Genomic DNA, 17207 nt, shown 5'->3' with positions numbered 1-17207 from the left:
TCACCAGTTGGCCAGGCTGGTCTTGAACTGATGACCTCAGGTGATCTGCCGCTCTCAGCCTTTCAATGTGCTGGGATTACAGGCGTGAGCCACCGCGCCTGGCCTAGATAAGTACTTTTGAGGGATAAGATGGTAATACCTGAAATATTTGGCTAGAGATGTTCCTATATTGTTTTTCCTTCCATCTCTCTGTCTGTTACTTGTATCCTAGACTAACAACCAAGGCTCCTTTCCATGGAAATTATTCTACTCTCTTAGCCGTTGCCTCTTTCTGCCTATAGAACATCTTGCACACCACTACCTGACCAGATTTTATAACTCAGCATTCAAGTGAAGCTCCTATTATAGTCCAAACTCTTCCTTATGGTATCCTTGCTTTTTCAGTACTAATCTGAGATACTCCTGCTGCTTTTCTTCAGAACAAATAGCTCTTTCAATAAAGCTAATGTCAGGAAACTTGCCATGCAAATAAACACAACAAATACATTGAAACACAATCTATTTTATTTTTTTCCGTAACAAACCTCTTAAGTGAATTTATGTCCTTAATGAAAGAGTTGTTTGCTTTTCCAAGTTCTGCATTTTCTTTTCTAAATTGTTCCCATTTTCCTTATACTTTCTACAATATTCTCATGATGCTTCATTGTTTCTTTTTGGGCCAGCCTCTCTCTCTTCTCCACTGCCTTTTGAAAAGCTGAGCAGTTGGACCTGGGAAAGATGCCCTACCCGCTCCAGGCACAATGCTGATAGAGGATGCCAATCTGGGATGATGGCACATTTTCTGTGACAGCTGGTACCACAACCTGGTTACTGGCTGCTAGCATTCTCTGCCCATCAGTGGTCTCTAGATAGTGCACTGTGTACGTCACCAGCAATAGAGTGGCTCCTCTAATCCGTTATCTTTTCTGCAGTCCTTGTGCACCAAGAGTATCATTACTAGTTAGTTCTAAAGCTCCTCACTGAGTAATGGCAGTATGCTGCCCACTGATAGTTTGGTAAGCTGGAGCTTGTACCATCACTGCAACAATAGCAGATGACACTGCTTTCTCATCTTCATACTTTTCTCTAATTCCTGGCTTTCCAGGTGCATGGAAGGATACACTACTCAATATTATCCTGTTGGAAATGCTCTTGGACAGTATCTGTCTTACCTGTTAAGAATCAGATATCCATGAACTGTATTCTGAGAATCTTTACCCTTCATACTTATGAAGATATGAGTTGTAGAAAAACACTTCTTAAATCTTTGGTAGAATTCTTCTGGACCACTCTCGATATAAGAAGCTTCCCTGAATGACTCCAGCTCTGTGGAAACCATGTGGATCCTCCATGCACGATGCTACAAAAAAAAATCACAGAAATTTGTCTTGATCATCCTTTTTGATTCGTACAGGCTTCTTCCTTCCTATTAAAGTGATTGTTTTATTAATAGGATTAGGGTAATGTAGTGTTCTCTGTGCATGTTTCCCGAATATGTTTGGAAATAAACTACAGGTGAGGGAAGAGACTCACAAGGGAATTCCAAGTGGCTGGGATTAAAGAATGGGTGAGTGAATAAATGATCTGTTTCCAAGATTGGATTAAAAGAAAAAATTGCCACTGATCTCTTTTCCACATTGTGATTATATTGCCCTCTTCTCTCAGTTGTCTCTAGATTTTCTGCCTATCTCCCAGATTATTCTGCCTACTTCCCAGAAAATTCAGAAAGAAAGATATTTTCTTTCTGAAATTTTCAAGTAATAAAGTAATGAATTTAAGCTCCCCCTATAAAATAAGCTCATGTGTATTCCTAAAAGTTAGAAAGGTTAGAAGTATAAAATTCCAGTATGTATTAGGTGACTGTCCTCAGACATTTTAAGGAAACCTCAGATGAGTATCAAGGATAGAAAATTAAATCCTAAAATACTATAGAAATATGAGATAAATGTAAAAACATTCTGTTAATTCAAATTTTTAAAAATTCCATTTATTTGGACTGTGCCCCAACAGACCAAATCAAAATGCAGCTATTCATGCTAAAGTTCTGCATCCCTGAGTTTTTAATTACATTGTTTACCTGACTTAGTAAAAAATCAGGACGGATGCATAATAGCCAAATGCCAAAACAGGCCAGCTTTAGCCAGCATGATAAGGAAGTCCTCTATTCTTTCATCTATGCAAGAAGAGTAACCTGATGTTAACCATTTCGTTTGTTGTATTATTTTGTTTCTTTGTTCCTGTTCAAGAAACCTTACAGAAACTGGCTCTTGTCCCATACCCAGCACAGAAACTCTCTATTTTTGGATGAGATATTTTCTTATTTTTGAATCACAGATAGAAGCCAATTTGATCATTTAGCTAAATTTGCAAAAATTTTGTCTTTTCATATCTTCAAATATACAATGAGAAAACCTGAAGAGATATGAGAAAATCTGGCCAAAATTACACACACACACACACACACACACACACACACACACACACACACACACCAGGAGTTGAACTGAGAACAGAAATAACATTTTCTGATTTGAAGGCAGTAGAATTTTTATTGTCTAATAACAGTAACTTTATTTTACATAATCTTGAATTTTTGGTTACTAGCAATGAGTCAGAGGAAAGCTCACGGGAGGACACCTGGGTAGACATTCCTCTCTGAGTCTGCAGCATCAACAGCTATAGTTAGTTGAAATGATAAATTAAATTATGCTGGCTAAATTGAGAACACAAGACAAGAACTCTATGTATGCTACTATTATGCATTTGCTTTATTTTGCCACAAACAACTTTCCTTTCTTTTCTTTTCTTTTCTTTTGAGACAGAGTCGTACTCTGGCACCCAGGGTGAAGTGCAGTGGCATAATCTCAGCTCACTGCAGCCTGCACCTTCTGGGTTCAAGCAAGTCTCCAGCCCCGTGTCTCAAGTAGCTGGGATTACAGATGCCCACCACCATGTCTGGCTAATTGTCGTAATTTTGGTAGAGACAGGGTTTCACTATGTTGCCCAGGCTCGTCTCGAACTCCTGACCTCAAGTTATCTGCCCGCCTCAGCCTCCCAACATGTAATTTTCTTTTTTTAAGTATATGGTTAACACATCTTAGTTCCTTCCTGGGCTCATATTCCTTGATGTGATCTTTATGCTACGGCTTTCCCAGAATTTCATCATAGACTGTGATCTCTTCGCATTTTGTATACTCTTCCTTAAATTTCATATCACTTCTCTGGTTTGAACTACACACATACTATGTTTCCACATCAGTTTTTAATTTTATTTCTATGAAGAATTTTACTTCTGCCCCCCAAAATGTGACAAGGCAAATGGATCAATAACCTCTTCACGAGGTGAGAAGGAATCTTAGGTTTCTGATATAACTGGCAAGGTTCCCAGTGTCTTACCTTAATTTTATTTCTGAATTTTAGGAATGTCCCAGGTGATAATAATTATAATAGAAGTTATCAAAACAGAAGAATGTAATAAATTTTTGGTTTAATGGCTGAGAAAATTTACCAACCTATATCTTAAATGTCCTTAGTGGCTAATACCACCTGTATGTACAAGTAAATCTAAGCTAAATAAGATTAGCTACAAAATTTTCTTTGAATAAATGACAAACAAAATTGGTAACAAGGTAATTGAGAGTGTAATGGCTGCTGCTTATGGAAATTTTAGTGTCAATAGAGAATGCTCAGGAACTTTAGGTGGAAACAGAAAGGAAAATTGGGTTGAAAGCCCAGAAGGTAAAATTCCACAATGTGAGATCACTTGGAGAGACACAAATTTCAGAAGGTGATAGAATTTTCCTGTTGCCGAGTAAAGTGCTACAAAACATGTGTAGGAGGAGAAGAGAGAAAGTTAACTAAGCAGTCTAGGTAGTACAGACAGAAAGAATAAGGAAGCATTGCTGATAAGTATTTTCATAATTTGGATAATCACCTTGATTTAGCCACCAATTTAAGAGATTAAAAGACACATAAGATCCTTCTTGCCATATGATCCTCAGTTAGCCAGTTGCTGAATGGGGAAACACTGGACACCTCGACAGTGGTGAAAAGCAGAGTTTACTTATTCCTGAATACTCATTCCCGGTTCGAACTAAAAGCAACTCTTTAGTAAAGGATCACCTGATTTTCATTGAACACAAGCTCTGGGTATTTCTTCTGCTCTGTCTGTCATTGAATTTTTTTTTTCTTCTAAATCAAAGAAAAAAAAAAGATAAAGAAAAGGCCAGACACAGTGTCACATGCCTCTAATCCCGATGCTTTGGGCGATTGAGGTAGGAGGGTTACTAGATTTCACGACTTTGAGACCATCATGGGCAACATAGCAAGACCTTGTCTCTGGCAAATAAAAACAAAAATAAAAAATAAATAAAATAAAATAAAAATAAATAAAATAAAGGAAATAAAAATAAACATTTAATGTGTATTCAGCATTTCCAGATACATCTGGCAGCTCAGTGTGCTGCATGCCTAAGCTTGAAGGAAGAGGATGGGAACAGAAGTATTGTAGAAAGCACCACGTCATTTCCTGACATTCAGGTCCTCTTGCTCAGGATGCTTTTTCAGTTTTCTCGCTGAACAGGAGATGGCAACAAATTTCACTTTCTTGCAAATAGAGATGAAATCCAGTTGTTGAAAGTAACAGTCGTTTTTTTTTGATTACCTCCTCTATTTAGATAAGTAGATGTAAAAAATAGCCCCCATTTACTTAAAATTGGGATCTTTATTAGAGTAAATTAGCCTGTGCCCTAACTGATCCCATGAGAGGTTTTTGCTGATTCTGGGTATCTGTGAGAAATGTACCCTCAGGTTTATGAGACTGAATGAATTACAGATGATACAAATTCTTTACATATTAGTCATAATTGATCCCTTGTTTATAATCCAAGATATTTTCTTTCCTTTTTTTGTTTTAACATAGGTTTCTCAATTTATTATAAAAATATGCACTCTCTATCATCTGTATTCCTCTTTATGATGTAAGTGTGTTTTGTATATTTCTACAGTAAATGAGATGGAAATCATTTTATTCTTAGTGAGTAGCTTAATATGTATGTCAGTTTAATTCCCGACAGTCTCCATCATTGTAAGTCCTTTTTTATATTTTCTTATCACTAAGAATCTTCGTATTTTCCTGGTACATGTTGGCCATCCTCAGAAAATTTCACAATCAACCTTATAGAATAAAAATAAGATACAATTGTTTCAAATATATAAATAATGAAAGTTCATTAGCATGTGAATCTTGACACTTCATTAGCATGTGAATCTTGACACTAATCTTCTTACGTTTTTTGACATTATCCTTTAATATTTTCTATCATATTATGCTACCCATATTTTGGGAAAATTTCCTAATTCTATTACAGAAAAATATTTGTTTATATTAATTCTTTTATTCTTATGTAAGGAGAATATTAAGAACTTCATATATCCAGAGCACAACAATCCATGTCTAGAACAAAGCAGGCATTTTTGTAAACATATATTCACATACAACTTTTTTTTTTTTTTTTTTTGAGACGAGGTCTCATTCTGTCACCCAGGCTGGAGTACTGTGGTGCAATCTTAGCTTATTTTAGCCTTAAACTCCCAGACTGAAGGGGTCCTCCCATCTCAGCCTTGTGAGTAGCTAAGATTACAGGTGTGAGCCACCACGTATGGCTTATATATACATATATATTTTGTAGCGATGGGGTGTTGCTGTATTGCCTAGGCTGGTCTCAAACCTCAAGCAATCTTCCTGCCACGACCTTCCAAAGTGCTGGGATCACAGGCATGAGCTGCCATGCCAAGCCATAAAAAACTTTAAATTGTGTTTTTGTGTAAACAGTTGAAATGCGGTGATGAAGGGTGCTATTAAGGTTATGAAAAAAATGGCTTTGAGCCTAAATGTAAAAGATTACATAAACTCCATTTTATTGACAAGATGAGATGCAAAGTCATCTCCTGAGAAAGAAAGAGAAGGTGGATTGGGCTTGTTGTTGCAGTAAAGTTATAGATTATTCAGTGATGAGATGGAGTGAAAGTGGTAAATTATGTGGTAAATATTATTTTTATTAATATTTTAATATTACAGCAGATATTTATTTTTTATTGTGTTAGGTATTATAATAAACTCTTTAGTGGCACTGAGAAATGACAACATGCTAGCAGCCCTCGCTCGCTCTGGGTGCCTCCTCAGCCTCGGTGTCTACTCTGGCCGCGCTCCAGGAGCCCTTCAGCCTGCTGCTGCGCTATGAGGGACCCCTCTGGTGCTGGCCTAGGCCAGAGCTGGCTACCTCTGCTGAAGGGGAAGTGTGAAGAGAGACGCGCCAGCAGGAGCCTGGGCCGCACGCATCTCTTGCGGGCTAGCGAGGGTTCGGCAAGTCCCGCACTCAGCGCAGCCCGTCGGAGCCTGCTGGGCTTGATAGGAGGCTCAATCCCGTGCGTGGGACCCCTGTTCCCTTTTCGCGGGATCGTTAGCCACGTTAGTAGGTCTCTGTCTCTTTCTCGCTTCCCCTCTTTTCCTCTAGATTGTCTGGGACGAGATCCCTCTGGGATGCCAGAGTGCCCGGGCTAGGTGCCACAAAGTCCAGCGGCAAGTGCCAGTGAGAGGTGAAGCCAGTTGGGCTTCTGGGATGGGTGGGGACTTGGAGAACTTTTCTGTCTAGCTAAAGGATTGTAGACGCACCAATCAGCACTCTGTGTCTAGCTAAAGGTTTGTAAACACACCAATCAGGGCTCTGTGTCTAGCTAATCAGGTGGGGACACAGAGAACTTTTCTGTCTAGCTAAGGGAGTGTAAAAACTCCAATCAGCACTCTGTCAAAATAGACCAATCAACTCTCTGTAAAATGGACCAATCAGCTCTCTGCAAAATGGACCAATCAGCAGGACGTGGGTGTGGCCAGAGAAGGAATAAAAGCAGGCCACCTGCGCCAGCAGGCGCAACCTACTAGAGTCCCTTACCACACTGTTACACTGTGGAAGCATTGTTCTTTTTGTTATTTAAAATAAATCTTGCTGCTGTTCACTGTTTGGGTCCACCCCGTGTTTATGAGCTATAACACTCACCTCAAGGTCTGCAGCTTCACTCCTGAAGTCAATGAGACCACGAACCCACCAGAAGGAAGAAGCTCTGTACACATTTGAACATCTGAAGGAACAAACTCTTGACATACTGTCTTTAAGAACTGTAACACTCACCGCCAGGGGCCGTGGCTTCGTTCTTGAAATCAGCGAGACCGAGAACTCACCAATTCTGGATACAGCATGATGTGACCTGACTCTCAACCAGTGGTCGTTGGAATGTTGGTCTATTACCCACATTTCACTGGAGACGGCAACACACTGCAAAATGAAGAGTACAGATGTGGGAGACTAGTTGCCTTAGTTCAGATCTGTTAAATTTCCCACAGTTCAGTTTTTTATTGTAAATATTGGATTATAGAGGTTTTTATATTTGAAGCATTTAAAACACATGCGTACCACATGATAAGTTCTCAATAAATGTAAGCTTTGTAAGCTCTCATCACTAGGCTTGATAATTGACAACACTTTGGCAAAGTGAGTTAAGCTCAATGCAGGGAAGCTGAGCCTCAAAATGGGGCTTAACCTTTGAGAGTCCTTGACTTTGCCCAGGAAAGGATTCAAGGGCAAGCCAAAGGTAGAGGTAAACAGCTTTATTGAAGCAGTAGCGTTTCAGCTCTGGTGATGTTACAGCTTTGTGGCTGCTCCCACAGAGCAGGGCTACTCCATGGGCAGAGATTAGCAGCTCACAGCAGTTTTGCAGTCATGGTTACACCTACTTTTAATAGCATGTAGACTAAGGGGTTTATGCAGAAATTTCTAGAGAAAGGGTAATTTGGGATGTCAAGTCATTGCCATGGAATGGGTGATAACTCCTGGGTGTTGCCATGGCAATGGTAACCTGCTCTGGCACACTGGTGGGCGTGTCTTTTGGAAAGCTGCTTCTGCCTGGTCCCTGTTTTAGCTAACCTCAACTTGGTTTGGTGTCTGAGCCCTACCTCGAAAGTCAAGTTTAGCCTCCTACCTTGAGGAGACTTGTTCAAGACCCCACAGCAACACTCATTCCCCGGTATGGAAGACAGTGATGTTGACCAAGCTTTAGGTTTTGTTTTTTTTCTGTTAACAAGCGTTTGTTAATTTCCACAGTATACCGAAGAAGTACGTTTGATAGTGGAAACACACTAGTGAATGTGTAATTAACTGTGGCAGAACAATTATTAAAACAAAAACCAAGGGGATATTGTATGATGGTGAAATGAGAATAGAAAGAAGGGAGTATATGTCTACATTTTGTTCTTCTATTCTCCCATCTCTTCTCTTATGGCCTGGGGGATGACCTCAAATTAAATTAAAATGAAACAAACTGCCAGGAATGGTGGCCAGCTCCTATATTCCTGACTACTCCATAGGCTGAGGGAGGAGCATCCCTTGAGCCCAGGAGTATGAGTTCAGCCTGGGGAACATAGTGAGACCCTATCTCCATTTTAAAAATTCAGTCTATCTCTCTATCCAAATATATATAAATAAAATGAATAATGAATAACTGCCATGACTTTATCACACACCCACACATTAGGCTTCTGTGCTAATACACTCTCTATACTCCCTGCATCCCAACAAACAGGAATCTTTCTAAAAAGATGAAAAATGGATGAGGTTTAAAATAAGCTTCTAGAATTTAATTGGTTTTCACATCAACCTAAAATCCTAAAAAACGCAAACCATTAAATTAATGCTCCTATCTTTAACATCAAAGTTTTCAAATCTCTCTTATGCATTTTTAAATTTAATTATTCAAATATTTGTTACATTTCCATTATGTCCTAGACGTTATATTAACTGATTGTTATTATTTCCTGGAGTGTAGTCGTAAATAAAACTGACATTTCTTTAAGTTTTAGATTTTATACTATTAGAAAAGAAAAGCACCAGTGGGCTTGTGTTTCATTGTGCTCTTTTAGCTTACCTTTCCACAGCTGGCTGGTGTTAACCAGCTCAATTAGACCCTCTGCCTTTTTGCAAGGACAGAGGGCTTTCTGTATCCTGGGGTTGTTGCCTGAGTGTACCAGAGAACTCGGATCATATGTGGGCTTGGAGAATGAGTGCAAGATTTATTGGTTGGTGAAAGCAGCTTTCAGCAGATAAATGGTGTGCCAGAAGGGGGATGGAGTGGGAAGGTGGTGTTCCCCTGCAGTAAAACGTCTCAGCAGCAGGGCTCGCCTCCAAGAGCTCTCAGCTGATTTCCATGTCATTCTACCATTAATGGCTGCCAGCATCTGCTGGTGCCTGTCAGTGTGCTCTTCTTCTTTAGTGCCAGACTTCTCTAGAGGCTTACAGGCTTCTAACCCTTTACAGTTTGTTTAATCTATTTTTCAGAGCATCAACTGATTATATATATGTGTATGTGTGTGTATATATATGTGTGTGTGTGTGTATATATATATAATGTAAACAACAAATCATCCACACTTTCTCACTTCTAAAATAGTTTCCCCTTCTCTCTCCTGCTGCTTCCCCTGGTGATTTTCCCACCATCCAGGAAACAACACTTTATCTTTCACCTATCCAGGATTTGGAGGTATAAAAAAATCAGAAATTGAGATGCTTGTTTTCTTTCATTCTTCTTTTGTTTATTTATTTATGTATTGGTGTTTGCTTTTTCTCCTTTTTTTTCCCAATACTTTCTTTGCATCTGTCCAGTAAAATCACTGAGTATGGTGACATAATAGATGACTACATAAGGTGGGGGAGCAAAAGTAGAACCAGGAAAAAGTAATATTAATATCTTGATCATGTATGCCTTCGCTTTAGTAGATCCTGTTTGATATTTGTGGAAACTGAAAGAACACCTGCTAAAATCCAGGTACACGTGCACCTGTGTAATATGTCTCCAAACACCTGTAAAAAAAAAATAGAAAGGGTTTGTGCTTTCTACAAGATGAATCTTCCACTAAGTTCAGTGTGAGATCTGGAGGCAGTTTCTGAAAATATTATTTTCCTGCCATTTTCCCTTCTGGAAAGCATTTTATATTTCTTCTCTAATGAAAAACATAGTCTATCATATTGTTATGAATTAATGTCCTAGTGAAGTCAGAGTCTTGAAGACATTCTTTATACAAGTGAAGGGAGAAAAGGCCCAGAGTCTATCTTCTGCAGTAACCATGAAGAACCTATCCAGTCATCTTCCCTAGGCCCTATTATAAAAGTGAATGGATGAAAAATAATATTTAGATTCCCCAAACTCCCAGTCTTGCCATGTCTCCAAACTGACCTAATGTAAATGAATTTCTCACTATTTTATAAATGTTCAAAAAGCCAAATATATTATTGACCGTAGATGGGGAATATTTATTAGGGCTGTTACCTTGACCATTCCACAAAGTTTTGTTGCTGGTGGATAAAGTAAGAGGGACCTTTTTTTCTGGTAAAATCCCTGGGAGGGGCTATACTCTACCCACAAAGTAGCATGAGTTATGGAAATGTGTTTCTGGAAAGAAGTCGTGGAAATACAGGGAAGAAGGCATTTCAGGAAAGAGGAAGAACACCTGTGCACATGAATGTTCCACATCCTGATACCCCATGGTCAGTCAGTACCTGGATTAGCTCCACATCTGGTTTATGGGACTTTTCCTTCAGCTCCTCATACATTCCTTTTAAAATCTCCCTCTCATGGGCCATTCTGGCATCGCTTTTATGGAGTTGCTAAAAATTGTCTTCGTCCTCCTTTTGAAGCATCTGCAAGTGATGTTGCTGTTCTTCATGGAGAAATGCAGGCATCTTCTGATATTCAGCTCTGATTGCTTCTATCTTTAAATTCACATAATCCTGCAGTAACAACGGGTTAGTCAAAAACAAAACCGACGTACTCATCTCCTATTGAATCTCACTGGTTCCTCTTTGTCTCTTGAACATCCCATATTTTAACTCTTAGTCTTGCCAATTCTCAGACTATACGAAATTTTACTCTGTTTTCTTTTCTGCATGAAGATCAACGAACATAGATGTATCTAACCAAATATATTCACTTTATTCGTGATAAAGTGTTTTTTCTAAGATAGTCATAAAGAAGAAAAACAAATTGGATTCCTCTTTTCCAACTCATATTTATAGAAAAGTAAGACAGTTCGGGCTTAATAGTTAGACTCTAGAGCTATATTGACTAGAAAGGGAATAATTATTTTCATTTCTGAAATTTGGGGCAAGTTATTTAAATTCATTATGTGTGAAATAGCCTCAGACTAGCATGCTCAACTCAATGCATTTCACCAAGCAAAACCTATGCTAATAAGGCTTCATTTATGATCTGGCCTTCTTTGTCTATCTAATCTCATTTCTTTCCATTGTTTTTCATACTGACTTTAACATAAAACATAAACTTCTTTGTGGTTCCTCAGCCCTCAAAATAAACACAAACTCAATATTACTGCACATGTTGTTTTCTTCACCTAGAATTCTCTCTGCCTCTCTTTCTCTCTCTAAGCATACACACACACACACAAACACACACACACACACACACACACACACACACACACTTGTGTTTGCCTTCCTCTTCAAGACGTTGTCTCAATATGAATTTTTCATTGAGGCATTTTCTGACCACCCTGTTTAAAACTCAAACTCTCGTCTCCAGTCCATGGCCTCTGTTCTCTTTTTCTAAGACCTTGGTATTTCAAATGAGCTAAGGATTCTTCATTTGAAATTGTCCAGTTGGAAGTCCTCTCTGACAGAGTTTCCCTTACTTGTGATTCAGAAATCCATCCACAGTCTCCTTTTAAAGTTACTTTTTGGATTTATAAAAAGTTGCATTCCACAAATACACTTTTAACCCCTCGGTTTTTCTGGACCATCAAAGCATTGCTCATCTGCCGAGAATCACAGGTATTGAAAACCACCTTAGACAGCAAATTCTCCCTTATGCAGGCATTTTTCTGAACCTGGACAACTGTTACTGTTTATTCACCCGGAAAATTTCCATTCATTCTTCAAGACTCATGCAAACGATTTGATCTTTGATTCTATATGTCCAATAGATAGATATTTGTGGCAGTTTCCATGTTGTACTGGGATTGTTGCTTTACTAGTGTGTCTGTTACTTCTACTAGATTGTGAGGTCTGGTTGAAAGAACTTCTCCTTTATTGTATCTCTGCCTCCACTTTCATGGCCTGACCTGGATTTTACCATTATAGAAAACTGCTAATCACAAAGTCTGCAATCACAAAGTCAAGAATCTCGCTTTATAATCAACGTTTCTTTTCTTTTTAGATTGGTTTTTCTGTATATGAGTTTAAATCTGTCTGATTACCTTTGGACCACAGTTTATTACTCTCTGTGGTTCTTGCAATTTGGGGGCTTCATCTTTTTTAACACTTCTCTTACTTCGGATCTTCTAGTGCATAATTTCAAAAATTTAGCACGAAAGGTAAGAAAGCAGAGTGCAGTTGATCATGCCTGTAATACCAGCCATTGGAAGGCTGCAGTGGGACGTTTCATGATTCAAGAAGTTTGAGACCAGCCTGGTCGACACTGTGAAACCTCATCATTACAGAAAAAAAACTTTACCCGGGTGTTGTGGCAAGCACCTGTAGTCCCAGCTACTGGGGAGGCTGAGGTGGGAGGATTGCTGGAGCACAGGGTGTTGAGGCTGCAGTTAGCTGGAATGCCCATCTCTGCATGCCAGCCTGGGTGACAGAGGAAGACCCTGTCTCAAAACAAACAGATAAACAAAAAAGTAACAATACAAAATATCTTACTAACGTTTGTAATGTTAATCGTGTCGAAACCTATTGGATATATTTGGTTAACGATTTTTATTAAAATTAATTTCAGTTGTTTCTTATTGTTTTATAATGTAACTAGAAAATGTATTCCCACTATGCAGCCATAAAAAATTATTAGATCATGTCTTTTGCAGGGACAGGGAAGGAGCTGGAGGCTATTATCTTTAGCAAACTAACACAGGAACAGAAAACCAAATAGTGCATGTTCTCACTTATAAGTGGGAGCTAAATAATGAGAACATATGGACACATAGAGGGGAACAACACACGCTGGGACCTATAGGAGGGTGGGGGATTAGAAGAGGGAGAGGATCAGGAAAAATAACTAATGGGTGCTAGGCTTGAGACCTGGTTGATAAAATAATCTATACAACAAACCCTGATGACACAAGATTACCCATGTAACAAACCTGCGCATGTATTGCTATACTTAAAATAAAGGTTTAAAAAAGTATTTTCTTCTCTTTCTTTTACAGTGTCTCTGTAAATGCATGAATTAAAGAAAAGCAATGAATATATTTTTCATGGGATAATATTCAAGATATATAGAAACAAAACTTCTGAGATTTAATTAAAACAATGTTAAGAAGAAAATGTATAGCATTATATTCATCTGTTATTTAGAAATAAAGCATTAAATTCATCTGTTATCTATCCCAAAGAGCCAGATAAACAAGAGTAAATTCATGCCAAAATCTAAAAAAAAAAATTGTAGAATATTGATTAAAAAGCATACAGTAGATAAAATCAATGAAGTAGGCTTTTTTTTTGTTTGTTTGAGACAGAGTCTCACTCTGTCACCCAGGCTGGAGTGCAGTGGTGCGATCTCGGCTCCTTGCAACCTCTGCCACCCAGGTTCAAGTGATTCTCCTTCCTTAGCCACCCGAGTAGCTGGGATTACAAGCACGTGCCATCACGCTTGACTAATTTTTGTATTTTTAGTAGAGCTGGGGTTTCACCATGTTGGCTGGGCTGGTCTCAAACTCCTAACCTCAAATAATCCACCCACCTCGGCCTCCCAAAGTGCTGGGATTACAGGTGTGAGCCACCACACCCACCAAAAGTAGGCTCTTTAAATAGATCAATTAAATTGATAAATTCTTAGTGAGACTCAATTAAAAAATGGAGAAGAGGAGTTCAAATCAAAAATAAATAGGCCAACACTTAGGTCATCCACAAATTAATATGTTAATAAGAAGATTTTAAGATGACTTTTATGTTCATACACTTGATGATTTAGATGAAATGAGAAATTTCCCTGAAAAACATATCTGACAAAAACCAACAGAAGAAACCATAGACAAATCTAAGATATGATTTAGATTCTAAAAATTTACCCTATTATTTAAAAAACAAAACTTCTCCCAGCGAAAAACCTGGTGATCTTTTTCAGTGAAATATTCACAACATTTAAGAAAAAAAAATCACACGCTTTTAGACAAACCCTTCTAGAGAACAGAAAAAAGCAGTAATACTTCCCAACTTGTAACTTTGGTTTTCTGTTGTGTTTTCTTTTACTTTTTGTAAACAGCTTCTCTCTCTGTTGCCCAAGCTGAAGTGCGATGGCAAGATCATAGCTCACTGAAGCCCAGAACTTCTAGGCTCGAGTGATCCTCCTGTCTTGGCCTCCCAAAGGGCTGTGATGACAGGCTCTAGCTGCTGTGCCAAGCTCCAACATATAATTTTGATATTCGATCCTGAAAAGTGTGTTACAAGAAATGCAAATTGCAGTACAGACTCTAAAATAAATATAGGTGCAACAATTCAAAAAAGCTAGCTAGTCAAATCTTGTGAGAGATAAACTCATATCATCTCCAAGTGGAGCTTATTCTAGAAAGGTTGACTAATGTAACATCAGAAAATGAAATAAGTAATCACGACATGAACAGGATGAAATACATATCATTGTTCCTGTAAAAAGAGGAAGAAAATATTTGATACAATGAAATGGTCATTTATGATTTTGAAAGCACTATTAAAAACAAATAGCCATGAACTTTCTCTAATAAGAATGTAATAACTTAGAGCCAGTACCATATTTAATGGAGAATTTGAAAGCTTCTACCCAGGAATGGGAATGAGATATAAATCCTGTTATCATCACTTGTGTTCAACACCTTGCTTGATCTCCTTTTCAATGCAACTAGACAAGAAAAAGAAGTAAATAATGTGAGGGTTGAATAGAAATAAAGATATCATAATTGCAAAACGTGACAGTTCAGTTAAAAAATAACTCTCTAAACCATTAGATATATTCGTGAATTGAAAAACAAATTGAGTCATGCATGCTTCTAAGACAATAGTTAAAAGTGAGAGTAAGCCAGACGCATTGGCTGACACCTATAATCCCAGCACATATATATACATACACACACACACACACACACACACACACACACAATTACTGTGAATATACAACTGCTATATTATATAAAAATATGCCTAACACACCCATACACCCCACACCCACACACAAGGCTTTGAGAAGGGCACTTTGTTCTGGGAAGGAGGCTTATGAGCAGTGAGTTTGGGAATCAAACCCAGGCAATTTAGCTTCAAGACATTGCTCTTAACCATGATACCATATTACTCTCAGCTGACTTTTTCATAGTGGGTGATAATACACAGTAGCCTCACAGCAATTCCAGGAAATGTAAGCACTCAAGAATTATTTTGAAATCTGCAGGAAATGTTGCTTGCTGTCTTCTTTATCCCTTGTTCTCTGCAACTTTGGTTTTCCTCACCAAGGGTTATTTTTCTGACACATTTATGGGTGCATTCCATTAAAGAAAGAGTTTTACTTGGTGTCAGGCACTGACAGAAGCTCTCTTTCTCCATATATGCCTGAACTTGACTGTCCTCCTTCTGTTCCAATTATTTAACCCTGAATACCTTTTACCCTTTTAGATGTCACAAGGATGTGACTGAGCAGTTTCAAGGACACCAACTTTTGCTTTCTCCTCCTCCCTTAGAATCCTGCATCTGCATTGCTGGTCTCAGACAGAACAGGGAACCCCTATTTCCCATTCTGGGATATTTTAATGATCAACTCTTCTTATGTTGTGAATTTGAAGGGCATGGACAGATCATTGCAAAGCGGACAGACAGGGACCTGCGTTCTGAGAACTGGGCCAGAAAACTGACAGAGGGACAGAAGAATTTCAGAGTGATTCTGGCAGGCATCATGGTTCAGTACGGGCCAGAGGAGTGGAACATATGGGCACAGGTTGAGAGGACTGCGACAAGACAGGGCCTATCTCCTTTGCAGCAGAATGTTAATAGATATTATATTTTAGTAAACAGAGGACATTTCTCTGAGTCAGCATCAAAAACTTTCACAGTCTGGAAGAATGAACAGTCACAGGACCGAGCCTCACCTTTCCTTCTGAGTATGAGAGGCTACAAGGCAATGAGAATGGAACAGCTTTTATCTGAGGTTAAAGCCAGTGTCTCTCTCTTCAGCCCACACTTACTGGTAAGGTCCAGTGGATGACTCAGCTACAGGTTTCTGAATTTCTGGCTTTTGAGGGAAAGACTTTGTCACCCTCTATGCTGAAGGTATTCTACGTACTATGAACCCCAGTCAGTGGTTCTTAACATCAAGAAATCTTGGGAAGTACAAGGCATTCAGAAGGCCTACATGAATAGTTTGCAGCCGCGTATAGACATCAGAAGGCGGTTCCTGACAAGGATGCCCTGACCTTTTTCATCTCATTGACATAGAATTACTGTGTCTCTCCCTGGTCATCTTGAAGGAGATGGACCACCCCTTCCCCCCCTCTACTCCAGTGTCATGTGCATCTTCCTCAGTGATTTTGCTGTGCTGTGTTCATAATGATTGTCCAGTTGATACCAAATCTTGAAGAAAATTTCCAAAAGAATATTTACCTGGTCAATTGTCAATTGCCCTTTTCCAGGAATCTGGAACTTGAATGGTGTTTCTATAAGGGGCTCGTTGGATCTCATGTTTTACAGGACCCCCAGTCTCTGGATATAGATCCTCAGTGTCCACTTCTTAGGAAGAGTAGGTGTAGTAGGTTATATTCCTCCCCCACTCTCTCTAAAAGAGTGCTAAAATATATATTCCATCCCACATTGTTTTTCTATGATGTAACTTCAAGACTGCTACTGCTGTGTGTGTGTTCTAGTCCCTTTACTTTGTGTAGGGTTGTGGCTACAGCTGATGTTTTACTCTCTGGAATAATGGTAGTATACAATTCTCCTGACTCTATGGGAATCTTCACTGTGGAAAATTATCTACCATGCTGTGAGCAAGCCCAGGGAGCTACCTGGAAAGGCCGTTTGAATATATTCTAGGTAACAGCCCCAAGCAATGAACCTCAGACATCAGCCAGGATCATCTGCTGGACTGGAAGTAGAATGTTTCCATTATTTAATCAGTGATCATGAAAATGACCATCTGGTGGCTAGACAGAC

The 17207-nt window shown here is 38.8% G+C and overlaps 2 pseudogenes; both read right to left on the bottom strand.

The window, feature by feature from the left end:
* LOC100421292 (cAMP responsive element binding protein 1 pseudogene) lies at nucleotides 610–1166 on the bottom strand (annotated as a pseudogene).
* Nucleotides 1151–10667, bottom strand: LOC100421548 (family with sequence similarity 178 member B pseudogene; annotated as a pseudogene).

This window comes from Homo sapiens, chromosome 2 (genome assembly GCF_000001405.40).
Source record: "Homo sapiens chromosome 2, GRCh38.p14 Primary Assembly".
NCBI lineage: Eukaryota > Metazoa > Chordata > Mammalia > Primates > Hominidae > Homo > Homo sapiens.
This window is presented reverse-complemented; position numbering and strand designations above follow the sequence as displayed.